This window comes from Homo sapiens, chromosome 1 (genome assembly GCF_000001405.40).
Source record: "Homo sapiens chromosome 1, GRCh38.p14 Primary Assembly".
Taxonomy (NCBI): Eukaryota; Metazoa; Chordata; class Mammalia; order Primates; family Hominidae; genus Homo; species Homo sapiens.
The window spans coordinates 106,046,545-106,074,109 of NC_000001.11; the positions used below are offsets into that span (position 1 = coordinate 106,046,545).

Consider the following 27,565-nt stretch of genomic DNA (forward strand, 5'->3'; position numbering starts at 1 on the left):
TCCCTGCAGGCATGCCCTCAGAACTTTTAATCTTTATGAAACATTTGAAGACCTCGAGAAAGGACAATACCCTTGGTTCTATACAGATGCTGTCATGAATTCATCTTATATCAGTTTCATGTAAGTCATTTTACTTTCCTGCCCCACTTTTATCATTTGTCAACTCAAAGACATCAATTATGTCATCACTAAGATGCCTCACATGATTTCTGAAGACAGGAAATCCTCAGAAGTTGACATGTAATGAGAGAAATAATAAACATCAATAAAATATTCCCAGGTTTTTATGAGATTATTTTAGATAAAACACTTAATTGATAAGTTAATAACTGAAAACTTCAGGTTCTCAAATCAAACTAAATGAATATTTTATCACTTCTCTTCTTAAACTTTTGTTATAGCAAAATGATATTAAGTTATCTGTGTACTTGCTTGGATTTGAAAGGTCAGCATCCCTTTCATGAGGAAAATTTTGTCATGCCTCATATTAAACACAGAGTCAACATTGATACTTCGCTGTTTTTAATCAATGATGGGGCTACTGACAATATAATGAACTCTTATTCCTTGAATACCAACTTTTATTTTAAATCAGTTGCTTGTCTTCTTGTAACACTCAGAATTCTTATTTGCAAAGTTAGCCCCTTTACTAGTTGCTCCCCACCATTTCCAATATACAACCAGATAGATTTGAGAAACTGCAATCATTCACAAGGCTTACATATGGACAATGTGTATCAAAAAGTATTTCAAGATTGTTTCAAATATTATCTCAGTAATAAGGTTTGGCCTAATATTTTCCATTTGTTCTTTTATTGTTTCTATCTGTCATGCACAGCCACGTGTGATAAGCAATTACAGAAGATCCTTTATGAAATTGCATTATGTTGTGCTGTGTTCTGTGTTATGCGTAACCCAAGGCGTTTATCTTTACAACACTGAGTCAATTAAAAGAATATGGAATAGTTAGAGGATAATAAGAGCAAGTAATTCAACAATTTGACATCTAACTCTTAGGACTGATTCTCAAGGTTATAGCAAATACAAAGTGTTTTCTGTCCTTTTTTGTCTTTGTGTTTAGAAATCTGAGAAAACAAACTAGAGAGAAGGCAACACATATTTCATTTTAGCTGTGAGCAACTTCCATTGTGAATCAAGGATTCATTCAAAATACATCTGGTATGAGGTTTTGCTTTTCACAGAATGGCAACATCTAACCTCATCACACAGGTGAGGACAAAGCAATTGTATCTTTTAGAGAGGTACACATTTTAAAACTTCAGATGTGAGTTTTCAGATGTAGGAAAAAAAGCTTTGTAATTTCTCCTATAAAAAAGCCACCACTCACCTATATCTTGGGTGTGCTACATGAAGCACACCAAGGAATATGAAGTTCAACTCTGTGATTATGATTTTCAAATGTTAAATAAATAAACAAATATGGTGAACTCTCCTCATTTGTTTCCCTTTGGTAGAGAAAAACAGGGCAAAAATGAAGTACAACCTGGTATAGAATTTATAGTGTGACATGCAAAATGTGAGATTATGTGTTCTTCACATTGCTTGCTTTATCTAAATTTCATGTAGATATATGGACAAGACCCCATTCATCTTATGACTACAGTATATTGCACTTGAAAAAAAATAGTGTTCTTAAGCTTCATCTTTTTACAGAATCCATGTAGTCAAATACCATTGAGGATAGTTGTGTGGTCACTATGTTGTAATATCAGACAAAGATGACAGTGAATCTGCAAAAGAAGAAAGCATTCTGAGAACCACTGATTCCAGAGCAGGTGAAGGTAAGAGTATATTTCAAAACAGAACACAAAAGAATCTATGCTCACAGGCTATATTTCGAAGGATAGATTTTTCAAAAATCTTTCCAATAATTAATAATCATGGGATTTAGAGTTCTAAAACTATGTTTCTACCCATTATATGCATAGAGTAAAACTATTAAACAATTGCTAGATGTCTCATTTATGCTATGAGTAATCAGAATGTTGAGAAAATAACTTTCACTGGATATAATCATAAAGCAACATTATTTCCTAAACTGCATTGGGGGAGTTCTTTCTTGGGTACTAGATACAAACACGCAGTTCCATGCCTTTGCAGATAATTCTTAGATTAAATACAAATAATATTAATCCAGGCTGGGCACAGTGGCTCACGCCTGTAATCCCAGCACTTTGGGAGGCTGAGGCGGGTGGATCACAAGGTCAGGAGATCGAGACCATCCTGGCTAATACGGTGAAACCCCGTCTCTACTGAAAATACAGAAAATTAGCTGAGTGTCGTGGCGGGCGCCTGTAGTCCCAGCTACTCGGGAGGCTAAGGCAGGAGAATGGTGTGAACCCGGGAGGCGGAGCTTGCAGTGAGCCGAGATCGCGCCACTGCACTCCAGCCTGGGTGACAGAGCGAGACTCCGTCTCAAAAAAAAAAAAAAAAAAAAAATTAATCCAAAGGTCACTATAAGTTTCAAACAATGTCAAGGTATTTTGTTCACTCCTATATAATAGTCAAAACTCTTACCATTTGATCTAAAATGAAATATTCCCTCTATCGGCCAGGTTTGTAGTCTGTGGAACGGATGAATCCTTGTCTTTCCACTACTTATTCAGCTCATATTTGATATTTCTGAACACTCTGGAAGTGAAGTGAATATTGAAGACAGTAAAGAGATAAGAGAAGGGGCAGCAAAGTTCTTACTTAACTGCTACAGTCAGCAACTGACTCTAAGCTTTGTAGACCTGGCTTTAAAGCTTCCTTTCTCTTATAGGGGACTTTAATGGTGTAGCAGTGATATTTTCTGTGTAGCAAACCATCTCAACACTTACTACCTTAAAACAGCAGCTCTTTATTATATCCCATGAGTCAACAGGTCAGCTGTGTAATTCTGCTGATTGGACCAGACTTCTCTTATCTTGGCTGGGTTCTGTCAAAAGTCAGATGGTGGCTCCATTGGGGCTGAGTAGCCTCAGAAAGCCATATGTGTGTTTGCAGGTGGGTTGACTGTCATCAGAGACAACAGGTTTGATTGGGTCATGTGCCTCATCTTTCAATAGTGTAGCTTCTTCCCATGACAAAGTACAAAAAGCAGTAAAAGAGAAGGTAAGCCCCAATGCAAAAGTGCTTTTCAAATTGCTGCTTATGATGTTTGCTTTTATCCCATTGGCAAGAACAGATCACATGACCAAATATGAGTCAGCATGAGAAGGGGTTACCAGGGTGTGGTTGCAGGAATGTGGAAGAAATTCCAAGATTTCACTGCAGCATTGTACCACCTATGATCTCTTCAGAGACACTGTCCCTTATCTGTCATGTTTGCTTTTCTTGATGCAGATGGCATATTTCCTCTGTCTTAAAGGATCCACTGCTATCCTTGGTTTCTCTTTGATAAGGTTTCCAGACTATGGGAAGCCCTCTTGGACACGATCCAAGATACATTAAGGTGACCTGTCTTAGTCACATGACTGATAGCTGGTCTCTATAACACATCTGTATCCTTTGTCCAGTCAAACTCTGGGAAATACAGCCTCAGCCTAATGAAATCACCCATTTACTTCCAGATGTGGAAGAACTAGCTACCCCACCTCTCCCCATTTGAATTTACCAGCAGGACAAAGACAGGTCCATTATATTACCCCAACTTCATAGCATATCAAACTCTCTACACAGTCCTGATGAAGCCAGTCCTACTAAGCTTGAGATAAGGGTCAGGAACCCATATCTCTTTGCACTTGGGAATGTTTGGACTCATAGTTCACCAAAAGTTCTCTCTAAAATATATCTTTAAATCTCTCTTAATTACCAACAACATAATTTATTAACAACCTGGATCTAGGTGAGAATTAATAACTTTGTAATCAAATTTTTCTTTTAAAAATATTCATCTTAGTATGACACTTCAGTTTGGAGTTTCATAAATATCATTTCTATGGTCTCTTGGTTCCTCAGTTACAAATGCCAAATTAACATCTTTAATGTGGAAAGTGACAAAATTGGGGAAACAATTAGGCATTGTAACTCCAAGTAAAAAATAATGATAAAATAAATTATAAAAAAATTGTATTTAATTTCGTACTTATCGATTTAAATTCACCATTGTAGACTGGGCAGAGTATCTTAAAGATCACTCTTAAATCACTTTATTACCTCTTTCACCCAGGTCTACATCAATTAAAAATATGGTGGTTGTGTTCCTTATGCCTTTATCTAGGTAAACAGTAGAAGTATTAAAGACTAGAGAATCAAAATCAAAGTTCCCAGTCTTGCCATGAGTGAATATCCTCATTGTTGAAATAAAGCCATTCATAATTTATTAAGCAAATATTCTAGATCATTAGTATAGAAATTGCTAAAAGGAAAAAAAAATCACATGAAAACTTTAAAGAAATGGATTGAGCTATTAAACTGCAGGATTTGACACATGGTAAACAAGCAACAAATATTAGCATTCATACAATTATGATATCAAATACCCAATAATGTTTCCAAGGATCCTTAAATTAGCAATTGCTGAAGTTAGGTTTAAATCTCTCATGTGTTCTTTCATCTATATATCCAAGCCCTCCATCCCACAGAACACTCAACCAAAATCTAACCACACAGATTCTTACAGTTCATTTTTCTTGAAATAATTATTTTAAATATTACTTCTCCATCACATATTTATTATACTGGGGACAGAGTAAGTGTTCAGGAGAATAGCAAGCTAACGGTTCCTAGCTTTTCACATGACACAAAGTTGCCGCTACTCTTTGAGCAATATTTCTTAGACTCTCCCAAATCCCACACCAGATGTCACATACACTTTACTGTCTGATAATTACTTCTTTCTCTCCCATTTTTCTACTCTTCTTACATTTTGAGAAGACAGATCTTAACTATCTTGCTTAGGACCACCTCTTTCGTCCTAGACAGACTTTCTAGATTTCTTCCTTCCCTTTACCCAGTGGGAAGCTCTTCACAGGGAGCTGAAGACTCTTAAGTAGACACTCATGTGGCTTAACCATAAGAATCCTGTGACTCTTTTGTATTTGTTTCTGTCTTACCACTGAACCAAAAAGTGGTTTATTTCCATCTCCTTACTTTCATCTTCCCACAGAAGACAATGATTCCCACATCTCTTCAAACACCTGAGTATCTTCTTCACTAAGTCTTCTTTCAAGAAAGTGTTCTGGGATTTTTTTCCCCAATTACTCCTACCTTCTCCACTTAGAATACAGTTAATTAGTTTCACTTATTTTGATATTCTTTTTTTTTCTTTCTGAGATATCTAGAAATCATGTAATGTTTCTTCCAGGTGAGTCACTATTATTTTTCCTTGCTTTTAATACATCCTTCAGTTGGCACCTTAGCACTCATATATAGTTTGTTTTGTTAGAATTCACACTATTGTCTCCAACTGGAATGAGAGTAAGGCTTGCTCTTGCTTACCATGGTAGCTGAAACCTAAAAAGTGTTGGGTACATAGTAAGCTAAAAAGTGATGGAGACATAATAAAAGTGATGGATACATAGTAAGCTCTTTATGAATGATTGAATCAGTGGGTAAATTAATGAATATTCTTTTTCTACTTGAGTGTCCATGTACCACAATATTACAAGTCATTTTAATCAAAATAGTTAACCCACTAATCTTCCTAAAAAGCGATTTTATATATAACACTTCTATTATCAAAAGATAAATTTTATTCATCACTTTAAACAGAATCCAAACATTCTGGCCTGTGTCCAGTCATTTGTATCATTTATTGAATTCCTGCAATATAAAAGCATTGTGGAGTCCAGATACATCCTACCGCTCTTCCAGTCAAGTGAGAAACACTATGAAAGCACATAGTAGTATAAGTCACAGTAGGAAAATCATACCAAAAGAGAAATATAAAAATAAACTTTGGTAATGTTTAGGTAGTTACCATAAATAGCTACTACCTGGGGAAGGATTCAGGGAAAGTAAAATGAAAAAAAATTCTTTCTCTCTCTTTTCTTCCTCTCTTCCTTTCTTTTTTCTTTCTTTCTTCTTTTTTTCTCTCTCATTTATTCTTTCTTCCTCTCTCTTTCTCTTCCTCTTTCTTTCTTTCTCTCATTCATTCTCTCTTTCTCTCTCTTTCTTTCTTTCTTTCTCTCTTTCTCTAGCTTCCTTTCTATTTTCATTTATTTACTTTCTTCTTTCTTTTTTGCAAAGTCTGCTGGAAAGGAAAAGAGAATTTTGGGAGAACTAAATAGTAGACATAGGACACAGAAATAAGAATAACAAGTTTTCCAGTTTCACATTGGAAGATAATCTGGGCACACTTCAAATTCTATTCAATTTTTCCCTGTTCTCTATATATTTTTGCATCTACATCACAGTTGACATCCTTCCTTGAATTTGAATCACTATAGTCTTAATCTTCCCTAAATTATATTTCAATATCCTTATGTCACATGCAAAAAAGACACTCAATAAATTCTCTTGCTAATGATATATTATAAAGTAATTAAAAATGAACAAACAAACATTGGTGAAGCTTCCGGAATCCTGAAACCAAATATTAAGGGCAGTTCAACAATTATTTGGACTCTGTTGAGATTAGAAAGATAGGTGGAGGAAAATAAGCACAGGTCAATAGCTTCAGGTCTCTTCTGAACCTTTGAACCTTTGGTTTCTTGCTGAGCACCTAGAAAATGACCAGGTCAATACTCATGCTGTGGTCTGAAAATGTGTGTCTCTCCAAATTTTATATATCAAAATCTAATCCCCAATGTGTTGATCATAAGAAGTGGTGTTTTTGGTAGGGAGTAGGTCATGAGGATAGAAACCTCATATATGGGAATATTGCCCTTTTAAATGAGGCTTGTGGGAGCTTGTTTGCAACTTCTACCAAGTAAGATCACAGAAGGCAGTATCTAAGACGAAAAGGCTCACTAGACATCAAATCTGCTGGTGTCTTGATCTTGAACTTCTCTACCTCCAGAAATGTGAGCAATAAATTTTTGTTGTCTGTAGATTACCAGCTCTAAAATGTTTGTTATAGCAGTTCAAATAGGTTAAGACATCCCATATGACAATCAGCCTTTTTATCATTTATAATTTGCAATTCATAGTCATGAGTTTATTCCCTAAGATTTCAGTTTTAATCACTTTCTGAGATCGTCTTTTTCTGTGGTCATTCGCCATAACACATGTGTTTATTAGATGTTAATTGTGCTAGGTGCTCTGGTTATAAGGATTTATGAAGCATAGCACTCAGGGAATTTACAGAATAGTGTAAAAAATAGGTGAATGTCTAATTTGAATAAACTGATTTTTGAGAACATTTAGTATGTACTAGTTTGAAGCATGGCCAAGAAAAAAAAAATCACAGGAGAATTCTTAGAAAAAATAAACCTTGAAACTTGAAATGAGACTACAATGTTAGATAAAAGTCAGTCAATTGAAGATGACAAATACAGGCATCACAGGCAAAGTACTCAAATTAGGTATTTTTATATCTTTTATTCACGTAATATTCCAAGTAATGAAATCATTGCCTGCTGCGTAGTAGGTAAGCCATCAATACATATTGAATGAATATAAATATATGAATGAATGAATAAAATATCATCCTATAAACCAAAAATGAGCAGGGTGCAGAGGTGTGGGGAATCATTAACTGCGTTAGTACCACTGGAATCTTAGAAATCAGATGAAGAGTAGTTGGAGCTGATGCTGGAAAGGCAGGCAGGACCAAATTATGGAGGGCTCCAGGTACTACTGACAAGGAGCTAGAGAAAGATTGTGAGAAGAATTGTTTGGTTAGATTTCATTATGATAGATCACTCCAGGATGGGTTAAAGGATGGACTGAAGGACCAAGACACAAGGTAGCAGCACCAACTGTGAGGCCACAGCAAGGGCACAAGTCAGAGGTGACGAGTATCTCAAATGTAACACTGGGAAGAAGGAGAGGAGCAGACAGGTGAATCTTTATCATGCTGAAAGTTGGAATTCCCATGCTGACACACAGTCTTAGGATCACATGCATATTTTTAGGAGGTAGAAACAAGTCAGTATGTGGCTGGCTAAAATGTAGAAACATAATTTAATCTGAAAATTAAAACAGTGACTGTGTCCACAGAAAAGGGGAGGGATAATTTTGAGTCGGTAATGAAAAGAAAAACAGGCCAGGCACAGTGGCTCACACCTGTAATCCCAGCACTTTGGGAGGCCGAGGTGGGCTGATCATGAGGTAAGGAGTTTGAGACCAGCCTGACCAACATAGTGAAACCCCGTCTCTACTAAAAATACAAAAATTAGCCAGGCCTGATTGGGTGCACCTGTAATCCCAACTACCTGGGGCATGAGAATTGCTGGAACCCAGGAGGCAGATGTTGCAGTGAGCCGAGATCACACCACTGCCTTCCAGCCTGGCAACTAGAACTCTCTAATATTGGGGTTTTGTGTGGAAAGCAGTACAACCACTTTGGAAAAACACTTAGACAATTTTTAATGAAGTCTTTGTAATGAATTTGAACATATACTGACCCCATGACCCAGCAATTCTACCTTTCGGCATTTATCTAAGAGATATGAAGGCATACCTCCACAAAACATCTTGTGTAAGAATATGTAAAGTAGCTTTGCTCATGATAGCTCAAACTGAAAATAACAAGTGCCCATCAATAAGAAAATGGATAAGCAGGCAGGGCGCGGTGGCTCACGCCTTTAATTTCAGCACTTTGGAAGGCCGAGGTGGGCGGATCACCTGAGGTCAGGAGTTCAAGAACAGCCAGGCCAACGTGGTGAAAACCCATCTCTACTAAAACTAAAAAAAATTAGCCAAGCGTGGTGGTGAGCGCCTGTAATCCCAGCTACTTGGGAGGCTGAGGCAGGACAATTGCTTGAACCAGGGAGGTGGAGGTTGTAGTCAGCAGAGATCACACCACTGCACTCCAGCCTGGGTGACAAAGCAAGACTCTGTCTCAAAAAAAAAAAAAGAAAGAAAGAAAAAAAGAAAATGGATAAGCAAAACTGAGATATATTCATATGTTGGAATACTACTCTCAGCAACAGAAACCAAAGGAACAAGATCCTGACACATATAAAAACATGGATGTGAACAGTCTGACTTCAGGCCAAAATTTATGTATGATCTTTCAGGCCAGATTGTAGGCAAGTACAAGCCTTTGTTTAGCAAGCCTGACCCAGGGAAACTGTCCTCTCTACAGCAGGCTTGGTGCACAGCCAGGGCACTGCAATTTTCTGGAGAGAGTTGCAGTCAAGAACTCAGGTACGTTTGGGCCAGCCAGGTTTATACACGTCTGCCTTCCTAGTCTAGGTGTCTCCATGGGAAGTATAATTAATGGAGGACTTAACTGAGGCATTCTTTACTATCTGGACTCTGCCTTTCTATTTCTAGCCATTTTCCTTCTCCCTCCCACTGCCTTTTCCCTGGACTGAAGTCCAGAAGGAGGCAAGGGCTTTTTGTTATGCAGTGAGGCAATTCCTCCCATCTGTGCTGAGTCACCTGACTGATTCTTTTCCATTGCCAATCCATGCTGGGGGGAATGGAATATTAGGGAGGCAGCTTAGCATTTTGCCTATTTTTGGCACTGACATAGTAAGTGAATTAGAGCTTGATTGTTAGTTTCAATTTGGTCTATTGTCTTTGACCACCTTGACAGTTGATTGCTCGACCAGATGGAGCTCACAGTTTATGCATGATTTCATTTATCTAAAGTTCAAAAACAGGAAAAGCTAACCCATGATGAGCCCAATTAGAAAAAAAAGCGGTTCTCTTGGCAGTTGGGAAATGAAAAATAATGGTGAATGTACTGAGAAAAGAAATGAGGGAACTCTGTAGAGGGCTGGAAATGTTCCAAATTTTGGTGATATTTGAGATTGATCAGTAAATGGTGTGTGTCAAGATTCACTGAATTGTAGATGTAAGATTTGTGCATGTTATTATATTAATTTTTATGTCAAAATTATAAACAACAAAAAACCACTCTCAAGTTTTGAGGCCGTTATTATCAATTAATGTGACATAACTAATACATAAAAATCTGTAAAACTAAACCTGCAAGTCAAATTTACCGACAGTAAATGAATTAAATCTTAACACATGTGTCTCTAAGTTTCTACAAATGAGAAATAAGGAGAGTTCTCTCCTAGCTTTAGTTGTAAGTATAATTACCTTTGTTTATGCAAAGTTTATTATTTCCAAATTACTCACCAAGGGCCTGATTAAAAATGGTGTTCATGCTCCTTATTCTTTAGTTCAGTAATGTGTTTCTCAAAGAAAGAAAAAAATGCTTATTATGCACCCAAATTAATTAAATTTGAAAGGTTTGCTGTTCATGAAATTTCTTCTGATAGTGCAACTGTATCCCTTTCAATTGCACTACTGGGAGGTGAGAAATCTAAGGAAAGGGTAGTGGGAAGGAAAATAAAATTACAATAAATTTACACTGCCCAAATGCCATACATATATGGCCACTGGAGCAGAAGTCCTGTACATATAGCTGAGGGAATAAAAAAAAAAAAAAACCCTGTTGGGAAACTGACTATTCTCCACTAAGTAGCATGCGGCCCTCCGTTCACATCTGTTCCCAGGCTTCCACAAACATTCCATTTGCTGAGCATGTAAGTATCCTTTAATTTATCAAGATATTGGTAACAGCTCACCAATTCCTCCAATGTTATTTTGAGTTTCAAATGCAAGTCATATAAAAATAATAATGAACTTTGCACAAGGAAATTTGAATAAGAATAAATTTATCTTACTAAAAATTACTACCAGAAATATAAAATTCATTTTCTATTGCATATCTTTTGGTCAACCTGTGGAACAATATTATGTTGTTGTACTAAATGCGAATTGTTATTACCACACTAGTTCTTACTTTGAAGTCAAAATATAGCCAAACCACTAAGGTCATTTTAAACTCGAAACAGACAGCTATAAAGGTACAGGCAGAGGTGTAGATACAGAACTAGGAATAGAAATAGGACAAGAGTAGGTACAGGAATAGATATGGTATAGACAGAACAGTGCTTAGGTATGAAAAGAAAAGTGATTATGTCTGTAGGTTTAGGTGTCAAAACTTGGCTTGCATTGTTATGTACAAAAGGAAAAGTGTCAAGTAATAAGAATCATAAAGGATAAGGTAATAGTTTCCCATAAACCTGAGATAAGCATTAAATTTATCACCAACCTTTCTAAATACCTAATGATAACAAGCAAAAGGAAAAAAAAAGAAAACCAAAAACAAAACATTATTTAAAAAATGTCTTTTATTCAAGAGAAGCTTCTTCTTCTTCTAATTATTATTATTTTTTTACTACTTTTTAGGAGAGTTCTGTCATGTGGTACTTTAAACAAAAAACAGTTACATAACAGACAGCTGATAAACAGGATTTTCTTTCTAGATCTCAGCAACTAAAGTTCCAAGAACTTTAGGAATAATCCCCATATATTCATATATTTAAAAGACTTAAGCATTATTTCTAAAATGTTTTTATATATTATGATTCACCATATAGTGGAATTACAAATGTAAAGCTCAAATTTAAGAATGCAAAGACAAAAATGCTGTTGCATTTTTGATGACTAAACTAATCTCACTCCTTAGGTAGTGAACATTTTTCCTGGATTCTTAAGCACCTGGAGATTTTTTCTTTGTTAATTCTGAGTCGCTGTAGCTTATTCTGGTTCTAGGGATTTCACTGAAAGTTGCCTGTAATCCCTAGTTGATCTCTGCTTCACTGTTGACCTTATAGCCATAAACTACAGAATTGCTTTGTGCCTTCTTTCTTTAACATCTCTGATCCCATATATACACTTTCATACAACAATCAAAGATATTGCTTCTGAAGAAATCATTATCCAGTATCAAAAGCTCTATTTCTGGCTCTGAATGGAGCTGATAGTGAACTCTGGATCTGTGGTGTTCAAACTCAAACTGAGGGAAACTTAAGAAGAGAAATTCTGATCTTCTATCTGCCTCCTCACCATACCACTACTTTTACCCTGATGAGCAAATCTTCTTTACATGTTGCCACAGGACATCCCTGAGAAGCCCTAATCATCTACTTCCACAAAAATCCATATGGTGTGTGGGACACAAAATTCTACACTTTTGATTTCCATAATCTAATCTATCATTCCATTCTTGTTAGAATTTTGGCTCTGGAAAAGAAAGTATTGTGACTATGTTACGGAACTCTTGGGTATCTTCTCTTTCTTTGAGTTTCTCAGCCAGTAGTCTTTCCTTCACCTTTGCTGTTAAACAAGATATTGTTCTTTGTCATAATCTTTTTCTTGCTCAAGTGACATTCGTACTTTCCATTTTAATGGGGCCATAATGTCAGTATGACTTTCAAAGCTGATTCATGTGGGAGAGGCCTAAAAAGTATACTTGTTCATTTAATACTTTTAAAATATTATCTTCATTACACTTGATGGATTTTCCAGCTTATTTTCCATCTGTAGTGCTGCCTCTGACATCACAATTAAAATACGTTAATGCTTAGATGTCACACATACAACAACTAATTTTTCTGGCTTTGGGGAGAAAACACACAAGTGTATTTTCCAGCTAAGGAATCATACATATTGAGCCCAATGCTTTAAGTTATTTAGCCATATAAGATGCAAATACATTTTATCTTTTCATTTTAAATATATTGCTAAATAATCTACACAGTTTTCAAGAAGATTAGCATATGTAAGAAATTACTGCCTAACCACAAGTCAGAAGATTTACTCCTACATTTCATTCTGAGTGTTTTTAACTTTGGCTCTTAGGTTAAGGTCTATGATCCAATTTGGGTTAATTTTTGTTTATGGTCTTGAGGTAAAGGTCTTAATTTCTTTTTTTTTTTTTTTTTTTTTAGTAGATTCCCGTAGTTCCAACAGCATTTGTTGAAAAACTATGATTTCCAGTTGAATTATCCTGGAACACTTACCAAAAAATTAACTTATCATAAATGCGAGGATTTATTTTTGGACTTTCAATTCTATTTATTTCATCTATATGTCCATTCTTATGCCAGTTCCACATTGTCTTGATTACCATTGCTTTGTAGTTAAGTTTGGAAACTGAGAAATGTGAGTCCTCCAAATTTATTCTTTTTCAAATTTGTTTTGACTTGTCTGGGTCTCATGCCTTCCCACATAAAATTTAGGAACAAATTACTAATTTTTGAAAAAAAAAAGCCAGCTTGGATTTTGATAGCATCTGTGTTGAATGCACAGCTTTATTATTTGGTGAATGTATTTTTATAATGCTATTTATTTCTGAAGGATTGTCCCTTTTAGTATTATAAAACAGCCATTTTTTTCTAGTGATAATTTATCTATACATATATATATATATATATATATATATATATATATATATATATATATATAAAACGTGTGTGTGTGTGCATGTAAAGAAATTATACGTACATATGTGTATTTGATATCGGTATGGACACTCCAGTTCTGACTACTTGCCTGGCATATCATTTATATTTTAAACCTATTTACTTTAAACCTATTTTTGTCTTCAAATCTAAAGTGCATATTTGTAGACGGTACAGAATTTGATTGTTTTTTAAAAAATCAATTCTACCAAACCTCATAATTTTGATTAAACTGCTCATTCTATTTAATTTTAATGTAAGTGCTGATAAGACTCAAGACTACTAGTTTTCTATTTGTTTTTTATATATCTATGTCTCTCTTGTTCCTTTTTGTTCTTAATAATTAACTTTTTTGTGTTATGTATTTTTTTCTGTTTATTATTTTCTGGTATACTCTTTTAAATTCTTTCTAATTTATTTTACTCCTTAAATATTTTTCAAATATTTAATTTGAAATATTTGTTTAAGGGATTACAATCAATACGTATTACTGATCGAAAGTTTGTATACTCCCAATATTCATATTTTGAAGCCCAAACCCTCAATGTGATTGTATCTGGAGGTTGGGTCTATGAGAGATAATTAGGTTTGAAAGAAGTACTGAGCATAAAGCCCCCATGATGAAACTGGTGTTTAGAAAATTAAAAAAAAAAAAAAAAAAAAAAACAAAGGAAGAAAGACCAGTGCTGACTCTCTCCCTGTGTGCACAATAAAGAGATCATGAAGGGGCTCAGCAAGATAGCAGCAGCCTACAAGCCAAGAGAAGAAGCCTCAGAATAAAGATTTATTTTTCTGGCACCTGGAACTTGGATTTCTGAGTCTTAGAAGAGTGAGACATAAATTTCCACTGTTTAAGCCACACAGCCTATGGTATTTTATAATGGCAGTCCAAGAAGACTAAGACAACTTAGTTTTAACCTAGAACAATATGATTTGGATTAATACAACTTAATTTTAATACCATGTGAAAACTTTGTTTCAATGTTTTTGTGTTCTTTCTACCCTTTTTATAATAGCATTGTCATAAACATTTCATCTTTATACATTACAAACCCATTACAAACCTTTTGTTTACCTGGGAATGTATTAATTTATCTTTTATTTCTGAAAATAGTTTTGTGGTGTATAGAATTTGTGTTTTACATTATTTCTTTTGGAGTACTTTGTATATGTTGTCCTACTGCCTTCTACTGTCATTGTGTCTGGTGATAAGGCTGTTGTTAATGATACTGATGCTCCCAGTCACCTTTCCTTTGCTGCTTTCAAGATTGTGTCTTTGTAATTTGGTTTTTCAAAGTTTGACTGTGATGTGTTTAGTTGTAGACCTTTCAGTTTATCTTACTTGGGGTCTTTTCAGTTTTCAGATGAGTAGATTAATTTTTTTTCTACAATGTGGGGGTGTTTTAGCTATTATTTATTCAAATATTTTTCTACCCCTTTGTCAAACTCTTCTCTTATTCTTCTATGACTCCTATCATATACATGCTAGTAGCTTGATAGTGTTCCCTACTTCTCTGAGGCTGTATTCATTTCCATCCATTCTTTATTCTTTCAGTTTTTCAGAATAATCTTGATTAACCTATCTCCAATTGGTTGATTATTTTTTATACTCACTTAAATATGCCTTTGAATCCTTCCAATGTTTCTTTTTTATTTCAATACTGTAATTTTCAACTGAAGAATAACTATTAAGTGATTTGTATAATTTCCATTTTTATTGATATTTTCTATTGGAAAGACATTGTTCTCATAATTTTCCTTATAATTTGTTAGACATGGTCTCATTTAGTGTTTTGGAAATATTTATAATAGCTGATTTACAGTCTTTGCCTGGTACAAAGTAAAACATCTGGGCTTCCTCAGGGACAGTTTCTATTAACTACTTTATTCCACTGCTTTATTCAGTCATGCTTTACTTTTTGTTTGTAAATCTCTTTGGTTATTATTGAAAATTGGACATTTTAAATAATAAAAGTAGGTATTATGAAAATAAAATTTCCCTTTCCCCTCCCCAGGGTTTGCTTTTGTTGATGCTACTTCTTTTTGTTGATTTTATTGCTTATTTAAACTAAATCTGTAAACTGTGAATTATTTGCTGTGTATGGCCACTGAAGTCCTGCTTAGTTAGAGTAGTGGTCAGCTAATGATTGGACAGAGATTTTATTAAACATCTTGAACCAGTGAGGCTCCCACTCTTTGCTAAGGGCTTTGTGTGTATATTGAGACACATGTTAAACACTCCAGCAGTTTGTAACTGTATTAATTCTTACTTCCTGCTTGCAGCAGCCCTCACGGTCAGCCAAGGGGAGGAATAGAGCCTTCTCAGTCCTTTCCTGGGTTTTCACACACTCCTGCACATGATCATATCCTTCTAGACTCCCAGGAATACGTCGAGTTCTTCCAAGCCACCATGGATGTCTCATTTGACAGATTTTCCTTTAAGTTTTTGCCAAGCTTCTTGTTTGTCCAACTAGTGTTGCCTCCTCAGGCAGCTGCAGTGTTAAGGCAATGCTGCTGATTTTTCTTTCTTTCTATTTTATTTTTTATTTTTTTTTTTTTTGGACAAAACCCTGGGTATAGGGCTTTTATCACTAAGTGGACTCTGAGGCGGATCAAATAAAGACAAGCCCTGGGAATGGAACTTTTTCAAGGACCTGGTAAACAGGTCAAATAGTAACAATTCTCTTGGGATGTAGCTTTTTGAGAAGTTTCAAACCTATTCTGTATCCTCTAGTCATTGCTAAACTGTTTATTTTCAAAGCTTGCTGGTTGCATGACTGATTGCTTTAAAGTCTACTACCCTAGAGCTGAAGAGAAAGGAGGGGAATAGAATAAGACAAAATGCTCAAACTTGCAGTTCTTCCCCCAGTTTAATCATTGTCCTTGAGTAAATACTCCTCATATTATAGCAACCATTTAGTTAATTACCAGGACTCAAAAATAGTTGATATTGACTATTTGTGACAGTGTTCTCTTTCTTTTTAGAGATTTTTAGATGTCCTTACACTGCCATTTCTAAAAGTAAAATAGAGCTTAACAGAAAAGATGAATCAATCTGAAACGTATAATTAACAAGCAAATTTTATTTTAAAAACCCATTAAATTTATGCTGAGAGATGATAAATTTAAATACAAAAATAAGTCACAAAGTAGCTTTTTTTCCGAGATATAAATAGTAATTTGAAGTGAGAAGGAATAAAATAAAGCTGTCTTAGATGGGAGTGTATTGGTAATTTGTGTACTCTAATAATGTCACAATTTTTCCATTTTAATTGTTCTTCTAAAAACTAAAAATATACATCCATGTAGCTGTGTTTGTACTAAAAAAATTATGTAGATGAAAATGAAGTTACTTTTATTCATAGAAAAATAATACATGCCTATGGTTAATCTTTTAGCCTTAATACAGCTTCTCTCAGAAAGTGAATAAATATACCCCAGAGGGCCATAGTGGTTTTGTGTTGGTGGTATTGAATAATCATCTAATCATTTTTTCAAGGTTGTTAATCAATTGTCTGACCTACAACCCTGATTGAATATTTTAAAAATTTCTACAGAAAATTTTACCTAATAAGTCCCTGGATACCTCTGAACAGTTACGAATGAATATTTTTCTAAAGGACTATTTGAGATTGTACTCATATATAAAAGCTCTTTAGCAAATGAAGTACTGTCTTTAACCATCATATACACTAGTCATCTTGCATGACCCTGATTGTTTGCCTTGCCTCTATTCAATTAACCTGTCACCCAATGCTCCAACAAAGGACACAGAGCATTACACATCATAAATGGCTTTCAAGTGAGCTCACTCAGCTGTGATAAATACATTATGTGGGCCTCATGCAGAAGGAGAACTCATAAAGATACAATACTCCTGCCCCTTTATGTTGCTTACATTCCTCTCAATAATCCAATTCACCATGCTCTCTCAACACCCAGCAATTCCTCTCAGTCAAAACAAGTGATCATATCAAAAAAAAAAAAAAATGGAGTTTGTTATGCTACATTCCAGTCACATTTATTCTCTTATTTCAGGGAAGCCTACAAATGACTAATAAGTTAAGAAACTACACTAAATATGTATGTAAATATTCTTTAGAATTTTTTTCTGAAACCATGTATTCGTTATCACTAGCAGGTATTTTACATATAGCTTTCTAAATATAAAACATGCATGGTTTCCTATTCTGCATTAGTATGTTTGAATAGATAAATTTTTTAATGCTCAGAAGATGTTGTCAGCATTTTGTTTCTTTTTAATTTGAGAATTACTTTACAGCTTTATATAGTGAGGGCAATGTGTACAAAGGTTAAGAGTGATGGTGACACATTAAAGCGAATTCTTTAACTTGCTGACTTTGGAGTATTCAAGATCATCATCTCATTGGTGATCATGCTTGGGTAATGCATTTGAAAAGCTATCTTTTTTTTTAACTTTAAAGAGTTACTTTCTGCTTCATTGTTTTGCTTATGTAAATATAATTAATTCATTAACTGTTGCCATAAAGCAATGCAACTGATATTAAGTGATTTTTCTACATGGAATTTCAGAAATTATTTTTTTAATTTCCCAATTAAGGGCCGATTTACTGCTAATCATAGAGCCATCTGTGTGAAACTCAGTGCCCTTCAGTCTGAAAAATGAGGAGCTTGTATTCTGTATGAGGAGGAAAAATGCAGCCCGTCTTTCCCCTGAGGAGAAAGCTTTGAAATTCAACGATTCTGGAATTTGAATCCCAGAATAGCACTTACTACCTGTCTGACCTTTATTGAGTTTTTTTTTTTTACCTATCCCAGCTTCAATTTCTTTAATTGAAACCCAAAGTTGATAGTATTGTTTATCTTATAGGTCACTTGTGAAGATAAAATGAGATAATGAGCATAAAATTCCTAAAGTCTTGAAAAGTATGATACATTTTATCCATCTATCATCTATCTATCTATCCCCCCTTTTTAAGTCACTCTTCTGTATTTCTCTCTCTCTCTCACACACACACACAGTGTAAAACAAATAAATAGAACACACTGTATTGGGACAAGTCATCACATCTTCTTTGCCTGAAAAAAAGATTCTAGTTATTTCATTACTATCAGTGTTTATAGAAATCCTATTGTCAAATGATTGTAAAAAATAAAATGAAATGACTAATGACTCAGCTATGTTTTGAAAAGGCATTAAATTCTCAGTGATTTGAGGTTTCTTTCTTTATCCATTACATGTTTTATTTTTTCACAAACTGTCTAATTGCAAGATCACTATGGAATATTAATGTATGAACTGAAAGCAGCTATATTTAGTTAACCCTTCAGTAAACCATAAAGAAAATCTACTAAATCAGGACAAGGACTGGTAGTTTACTAAGTTTTTTTTTTCTTAAATCACTGTTGTTATTGTCATATTATTATAAATTCCCTGCTGACTATACACCTTTATATTAGTATTTACATTAACACTTAGGAATTTAGCTGTCTGAGCCATAAAAGATACTGAATAGCCAAAGCAATCTCGAGGAAAAAAAATGAAGCTAAAGGCTTCATACTACCTGACTTCAAAGTATACCACAAAGCTATAGTAACCAAAACAGCATGGTACTAGCATAAAAACAGACATATAAACCAATGTAACATAATAGCCCAGAAATAAATCCATGCATTTACAGTCAATTCATTTTCAACAAAGTTGTCAAAAGCACACAATGAGGAAGGGAGAATACCTTCAATAAATGGTACTGGGAGCTGGCTGGGTGCAGTGGCTCACGCCTGTAATCCCAAGACTTTGGCAGGCCAAGGCAGGCAGATCACAATGTCAAGAGATCAAGACCATTCTGGCCAACATGGTGAAACCCCATCTCCACTAAAAATATAAAAAATTAGCTGGGCATGGTGGCTCGTGCCTGTAGTCCCAGCTACTCAGGATGCTGAAGCAGGATAATTGCTTGAACCCAGGAGGCAGAGGTTGCAGTGAGCCAAGATCGCGCCACTGCACTCCCAGCTGGTGACAGAGCAAGACTCCATCTCAATAAATGAATAAATAAATTAATTAATTAATAAATGGTACTGGGAAAACTGAATAACCATGTGGAGAAGAATGAAATTAGATTTCTACTGTAGGCAATATAAAGAAATCAACTTAAAATGGATTAAAGACTTAAATGTACTACCTGAAACTGTGAACCACTAGAAGAAAACAGGGAAAAAGCTTCATGACTTTGGTTTGGACAACTGTCTTTTGGATATGACCCCTCAAAACACAGATAGCGGAAGCAAAAAAAAACAAAAAAAATACATGAATGGAATTACATTAAACTGAAAAGCTTCTGTATAATAATAAAAACAATTGACAAAGTGAAAAGACAATCTAGAGAATGAGAGAAAAATATTTGCAAATTGTGTGTCTGGTAAGGGGTAAATATCCAAAATATCTGAAGAACTCAAACAACTGAACAGCAAGAAAACAAATAGCCCAATTAAAAATGGGCAAAAGACCTGAAGAAACATTTCTGAAAAGCCATATAAATTGCCAATAAGTACATGAAAAATGCTCAACATCGCTAATCGTGAGGGATATGTAAATTAAAACCATGAGATATTACCTCACACATGTTATTGTCAAAAAGACAACAGCTAACAAGTGTTGGTAAGGATGTGAAGAAAGAGGAACTCTTATACACTGCTGGTGGGATATTAAGTTCCATAGTCACAGACACAAGTAAGGAGGTTTCTCAAAAAAAATAAAAATAAAAATAGAGCTTCCAAATGATCCAGCAATGCTGTTACTGGGTATATATCCAAAGGAAATGAAATCAGTGTGTCATAGAGGTATCTGCACTCCCATGTTTATTGCAACACTATTCACAATAGCTAAGCTGTGAAATCAACCTAAGAGTCCATCAAGTGATGAACAGATATAGAAACTGATATATCTCTTATCATTCAAGATTATTCAAGGCTTTCTCTTTTCTTAGACATCTCTGTTAGTCACAAATTACTTCATGTATTGAAAATACATTGTTGTCTAATTAAAAGTTTTAAAATCAACCAATCAGCATAGGATGATTTTGTTTGCCTAATGGAAAAACTATTAGAATTTAAAAAATCAAAACAACATAGATAACTGGTTCTGAAATATGTGTATCCAAAAATTATGTGAGGATCCTTTTAATATGTAGATGATTATGATTCATGAGTCCTTGTGGATGGGTCCAGAAATTTTGTATTTGAATAACAGGCAACAACTCAGTGCCCATTCAGAAATTTTAGTTTAACTGAGGAAGAGGGTCAAGCAAGCCCAGAATTAAGCAGGAAAGGGCCAGAGTTTTATCTGTATAAAGGCATATTGAACAAGGTGCGATCCAGAATATCATTGGCATGATGAGGACGAATGTTCTCAGTGAAGTTGACTAAAGCAAGAACTGCAGCTCTGGCAAACTAGTAACAAGCCAGGGACCTGGCAAACCAAGAAGCAGAAAAACCTATACTAGACAGATAAAAAGTGAGCAGTTGATCCCAGGAGAGACTGTGCTTTTGAAAATCAATAAAAAATAGATGTATTGTTATTCATTATGATGATGATGATTATTATTATTAATTTTTTCTAATCTGGAGACTATCAAGTAAATGGACGCATCTCTTTCCACATATTCCTAAGCTTATTCATTGTCTCTTTTTATTTCCTCCTTCATTGAATATTTAATCAAAATTGCTACTAAATCTTTTTTGTCACTGACATTTTAGCTAGACTGCAATCATCTGTCAAGAATTACAATTTTAGTTCATTTCTTTGTGTCATGCATGTATAGCTTAGCTCCTGGCATACAATTTAAAACTTTATTTCTTTATATGTGCTTAAGAACATTATCAGAAAACTGCACTTTTTTCCTCTAGCTCAGCTCTTAGGAATCCCTAGAATTAAAAACTAATCATCTAAAATCATCAAGACCACTTGTACTTATTGAAGGCCATATGAATTATGTACCTGACTGTGAGCCTAACGTATTTTGATTATTTGGAGTAAATATATTACTGGTTCTTTCTCCCACTGTGAAAATTGTCCTAAAATACAAAGCTAAAGCTATTCTTTGTAAAATAGTTATTTTCATATATTCATGCATATGGAAACATTCTTTTCATAGAGTTGTTCAACACTGTATGAAAATGTCTTTCTAATAATATCATCAAAGGCAACAATAACTTGTTCTGAATATGAAAAGTTTAAGCTCATATTAATGGTTAATAAATAACATATTTCCTTACAAAGTTTTACATTTATTAGCATCTATACTTATCATTTTTGGCAATTCAAAAATGTCTAAAAAGACTATAAAAAGAGTATAACAACTATAATAAATCATAGCTATAAAAATGATTGACACTGAGAAAATGCAATGTGTATATTAATCCCAGGGAAGAATATTTAAACATCTTAAATTTAATCTATGTATTTGTTATAGAAAATCATTTGAGAAAAGATACGTCACCAAAACACAGTGTTTGAGGTATTTGCATCAGAGTTTACTAACTAGGTGATTTTACTGTTTTTAAAATGAGAAAATACGATAGTACTTAATGTTATATATTTTTAAAAATAAGTAGACCATAGCTTCTGTAAAATAAGGAAGTAACATAGTGATATAAAAATTAGCATCAAGGTTTTACATTATTATTTTCCTTTCTATTTGCTGGTTCCTGCTGATATAGTAAGTGTGTTAATTTTAGGTAGAGTAAAACTAAGATATACTAAATATATTGAATTACTGAAAATATTGAAATAACCACATATATCTTGCCATGATAATGAATTCCTAAGCCAAATAATAAAAATCTATATTCTGGAGTTTAAATGAATCTGTGAATCAGAAATTGATTTTATTCTTTCTGAAAAATTTGTTTCAAGTAGTTTTAATTTAATAGTTTAATAGTCTTTACCACATAACTACAAAATATGGATTATTAATTTCCACAAAACTAACCTTAAGATATTTGATGCAAATTAGCTAATCAAATTTTTGAAAACTAACATCAATAAATACATTTCAAAATCAGTAAATTGCAAGGTAAGTCAGTTATCAAATATTTTATGTGCTTGTCTTTTCCAGGAATTCATTATTTCTTTTCACTTGTTGGAAAATCAGGGGAATCTTAGCTATAGGTTGAGAATTCATACTCAAAGAGTAAAGAGAAGCCTTCGAAAAACAAAAGATAGAGTTTCAAAGAAAATGGTGGCAAGTCAAGCAGGTCAAAAGCTCTAGACTGGATGTGAAATTATTGCAAATGCTATGTCAGCAGAGTAATAGGGATTGAAGTCGAACTGCATAGATTGAGAAGGAAGAAAGTAAATATAAAAGGTAGGACTCAAATATCAGAAATATAAGAGGTGCTTTGGAAATTTTCATAAAAATTTAATAATAAAGGGAAAGGTATAAAGAGAGAGCTTGAGAGAGAGGAGATGGTACTTAGAGAAACTGCTGGGAAAGACAAGACAAAATATTTCAATAAGCTACTGACAGAGAAGAAAGGAGAGAAGAAAGATAAAAAGAAAAGAATATTTAAAATTTTTTTTTTTTATATTTCAGACAGTCCTCTTTATTTTTTTAGGAGAATGAAATCCCCTAAGAAGATCCCCTACCATAGATTTTTAATAACGATCCCCAAATATTCATGAGAAAACATGCTTCTTCCATAAACTTTCATAAAAGAACAGGCACACAATAAATATCCGTTGCATAGAAACATGAAGTTAGGTAGTGCTTTCTCTTCATGTGGCCCTTTTCTTTAAGTTTATGAACCTCACCTCAGGTATTTAATAATTTAAAATATCAGGAGTGAGAAAGGTTTGAACAAAGAGAAATGGCAAAGAAAGTTGGAGACAAGCTGGAGAGAAAATGAAGTATTTATACTTTATTTGTCTATTTATGTCTCCCACTGAGGGGGACTGATTGCAAAAATGGCTTTAATTCTTCACAAACTCTATATCCATACCATTTAAATATGATTTTACAATGCTTTTCATCAAGAGGCAGTCGACCTCCCATTCTGTAAATGTAAGTTGGCCTTATGGCTTTGCCTGAAAGTGTGACAGTTCTAAGTCTTGTCCAAAAGACTTTGCAAACTTTCTTCCCATGTCCCCGCCTCCTGTCTTCACCAAGAGGACATACATAGGATAGCTTTCTCCTGGATGTCTGCTTAGGCTGTTACAATAAGCCCAACTAGTCTGCTGGAGTACTAGAAATAGCATGATGCAAATATAAGTTGTCCTACCTAAGATCATTTTAGATAAGCAAAACCACACTGTTGATCCACAGACTAATAAAAAAAATAAATATTTATCACAGTATGCCACCCAGCATTTTGTGGTTAGACGTTAGGTAGTATTGTTGTTGCTATTTATAACACACATCTAATCAAAACCAATATATCTTTGAAAGAGAAGCAGTACTTTGTTTAAAGTTGTAGCCCCAGAATCTATCATAGCCCCTAAGACAATAGATTAATTTCAAATTGTATTTGTTTTATGAATGAATTATGACAGATGGATGGATGAATTTATAAATAAATGAGATATTTTAGAAAATGTAAATACCAGAAGTTTCCTACTGGCTATTAAGAAAAGACAGAGTCCAACCGAGGCGGGTGGATCGCTTGAGGTCAGGAGTTCGAGACCATGGCCATGACCCCATCTCTACTAAAAATACAAAATTACCTGGGCGTGGTGGTGCGTATGTAGTCCCAGCTATTTGGGAGACTGAGACATGTATAAACTGATGTTATTTTAGGATAGATATAGAGGTTTTAAAAGAGTTTTCTTTTTAATTAATTAATTTTATTCTTATTTGCTTTCCACAGTAAATCTGTGTGTCAGTTAAGTATGTATACGCACACTTCATAGACATGAAAAAGATATTTTAGGGAGATTATACTAATCTCCTATGTCCAAGACTCAAACCAAAGTATTCTAATATAAAATATACCTATCTTTCCATTATTATCATAAAGACCAACTGCTCTAAAAAAAGAAACTTAGAAGAATGACAGATATTGAAGGACTTCAATGAGAGACACTGATTACTATTTAAGAAAGAAAATGCTAAAGCAACATCCTGCCATATGAAATAATATAAAAGATAAAAGTGATTGCATGGTACATAATAACACATAAATCATCTTTTTTACTAATTTAAATATATTTAATATAAATACTATTCTTTTCTTGGCCTTAGATATTACAAATTACTAAAAACAAAGAAAAAACGTGAAATCAAATCTAGTATTTACAACATTGGAGCTAATTAAGATTTTTTTGTTATTTAAAAAAGTATTTCCTTGAAATCATTTGGCCACTGGTGTATTCTACATTCCTTTTTCCAAAATTTTGAGATATTATTAAAATACTCCCTATTCGATGTTATTTTCCTTTCAATTTTCTTTCTTAAAAGTCAATACAACAAAAACTAAAAAGTCAATACATGTAAGTAGTAAATATATGTAATAATACAAATAAAAGTTGAGGACATGAATGTGGCTATGCCTAAATAAAAGTAAAATATTTTTAAAATTATCTTCACACAGCAATGGTTTATTGAAAATTGTTACATATACTTGATTCACATAAAGACCTACAAAGAAACAGATCACCTCCTGATATCACCTCTATCTTCCATGCCTACCAAAAGGTACCCAGAATCTATGGATCAGCAATTACAAATCTATGAAGATAATCTGATAATGTCGTTGAAAGTCTCTTTAGAGATTTCTTGTTCTAATTATATATTTCTCAGCAGATGTCCCAGAAGTCTGTAATAAATACAAACTGCAAAATGAGTTGTACTCTATTAACATTCCCCTTTTCTCACCCACCTGACCACCAGCACTGAAACTCACTTTTTTCCAAGACCAATTTTTAAAATTTATAACACATTTAGTTTCCCCCATCTCCCCAATCCAGATTTTCTAAACTGTCTCTTATTGACAACCCCCTAGCTCTTTCTGTTCTATAAAAGCAGATTAGACCAACCTATTTTTGGGGAAAAATATCTTAGAAAAAGGACCCTGGATCCTCTAGTTTTATTTGAAACATAAGAATAAAATTTTGGTGAGAGAGTAGCACTCAATAGAATAGGTAATATAATTGCATGACAACAATTTTAAGACATGAAAAAATGAGAGCACACTCATTACAAGGTATTTCTTTTACATATTTACCCATCAATGTCCAAAAAATTTTAAAATAGCTATTAGTAGGAGACAGATTGTTACAAGATGAGGATGTGACAATAATAACTAAAATGCTACCTTGACTAATGGTGCATAGAATTCGGTGGAGGTGACAAATAAGCATACAAGAACTAAAAGGATGATATAAGCCTTTAAGGGTGGGCAGTCTCATGTAATTATCATATATTTTAATAACATGGAATTAATTAAACCAGGAAGGGAGGAAAGAATAAAGGGGTAGAAAAACAATGCTTATTCTTACTTTACATACACTGTGAACAACCCAGACCACAAAACCCTCCAAGGCTCCTTATAGAGAACGATCAGAAAAATGATCCTAGATGGTAGAGAAATGGTTATTAAATGTTCAGCATAGATAACTCCAATTCACACGTTTAAAATTCTCTTCAGATGTCAAATCACGTAGACCTCATGGTTTCTTATCTTTCAGCATCTGTCTCAGCTATCAAAGTGGTACATGACCCCAACTTCAAGGAGTTAAGGTCCAAATACAATTAGAGGCAACAGTCCCTGAAAAGCCACCCTCACTTCTGACACCAACTGCACATTTTCAGGTTTCCCAAAACCACCCTGAGGTTCAATAAGTCATTAGTAAGACTTACAGAACTCATTGAAAGCTATTCTACACAGTTATGCTTATTACAGAGAAAGAATACAGAAAATCAACAAAGGCAGGCATGTATAGGGCAGCCTGAGAAGGTACCAAACGTGAATCTTTTATTTTCCTCATGATGCATTATTCTCCTAGAATAATGTAAAACCATGTACCTGGAGTGTTGCCAACCCATGATGCTCACCAGAACTTTGTTGTCCATAGTTTTTATGAAGACTTTATTGCATAGGTATGATTGATTAATATGTTGCCCATGTGGTTGAACTCAGTCTGTAAGTCAACTGATACCACGGGGCCCAAGCTCCTACACTGAATCCTATGCTTTGTCGTTTTTACATGGCCGGTTTCACTCTGACTACTGAGTATGGCCAGCTCATAGAGCCATCTTGTTACCATAATATATCAGATGAGGTTCTAGGGGCTCACATAAATGACAAAGCTATTCCCACTAAGTTCTAAGTTCTAAGCACTATGACCTCCTAGCATAGTGACTTTAATAATAACTAGAGAAATTATATAAAAAGTAATAGAAAAACTATTTAATGTTATAAAATTACCTTTAATATGACGAGAGACATATCTCCTTTATGTCATTAGAGGGAAAGAAGTACAACCATACAGTAAAAACAGAAGTGAAAGTGAGTAATAGGAAATATAAATATAGACATACTGAAAATGACTTCTCTGGGAGGATGCTTATACCGATATTGGTGGGAGATTTTTAATGAGTGGTGGACTTTTAGCGGATTTTGTACCTTTTCATAATCTCGTTTTGTATTGGCTGAAAATAAAGCCTGGCAATATATCTATTCTATAATATGTCATATATATGACATATATAGTAGATGTATCTATTTAAAGAAAGTTAATAAAAGAAGGTTTTGATATATTAAATTTTTCTATTTAGATAAGTGGTTGAAATGTAAACATTCTTAAAATTAAGGCATATTTGTACTGTAAATACATAGAACTGTAGTTATTTTCTAGGAAAATTATTCTTTTACTTTAACAGAAAATCAACCATATTACCAATGCTACTTGTACTGTGACTACATAGAACTGTAGATATTTTCTAGGAAAAGTAGTCTTGTAATTTACCAGAAAAATAACCATATTACCAATGCTTTCATACATACCAAATGTTTTATTCTTAAAAATTAAGCATGTAGTTGCTTTAATGTAAAGTACAATAAGTGCACTTATTGTAGACATATTGAAGTCCCACATGTACATATATTGAATATTAAAATAATTCATAGGTAATAAATATTTGAGAAAAAATTGACTTTTAAAAGGAAAAGAATGATAGAGAATGTTCGGCATGGATTGAACTAGA

At 34.0% G+C, this 27,565-nt stretch overlaps 2 long non-coding RNA genes across 4 annotated transcripts; one reads left to right on the forward strand and one right to left on the reverse strand.

Moving 5' to 3' along the window:
* On the forward strand, positions 1-2,289 carry LOC105378886 (uncharacterized). 2 transcript variants are annotated; one of them, XR_001738171.2, is made up of 3 exons: positions 1-120; positions 1,082-1,230; positions 1,675-2,289. It is a non-coding gene; the product is annotated as an uncharacterized LOC105378886 (long non-coding RNA). The 2 variants fall into 2 exon arrangements; XR_007067037.1 differs by lacking the exon at positions 1,675-2,289 and having other exon boundaries at positions 1,082-1,448.
* LOC105378885 (uncharacterized) lies at positions 1,664-26,612 on the reverse strand. Of its 2 annotated transcripts, none has more exons than XR_947668.3 (3): positions 26,414-26,612; positions 2,539-2,652; positions 1,664-1,751 (listed from the first exon to the last, which is right to left on the reverse strand). It is a non-coding gene; the product is annotated as an uncharacterized LOC105378885 (long non-coding RNA). The 2 variants fall into 2 exon arrangements; XR_947670.3 differs by lacking the exon at positions 26,414-26,612 and adding an exon at positions 5,943-5,980.
* Positions 26,613-27,565: the final 953 nt, after the last annotated feature.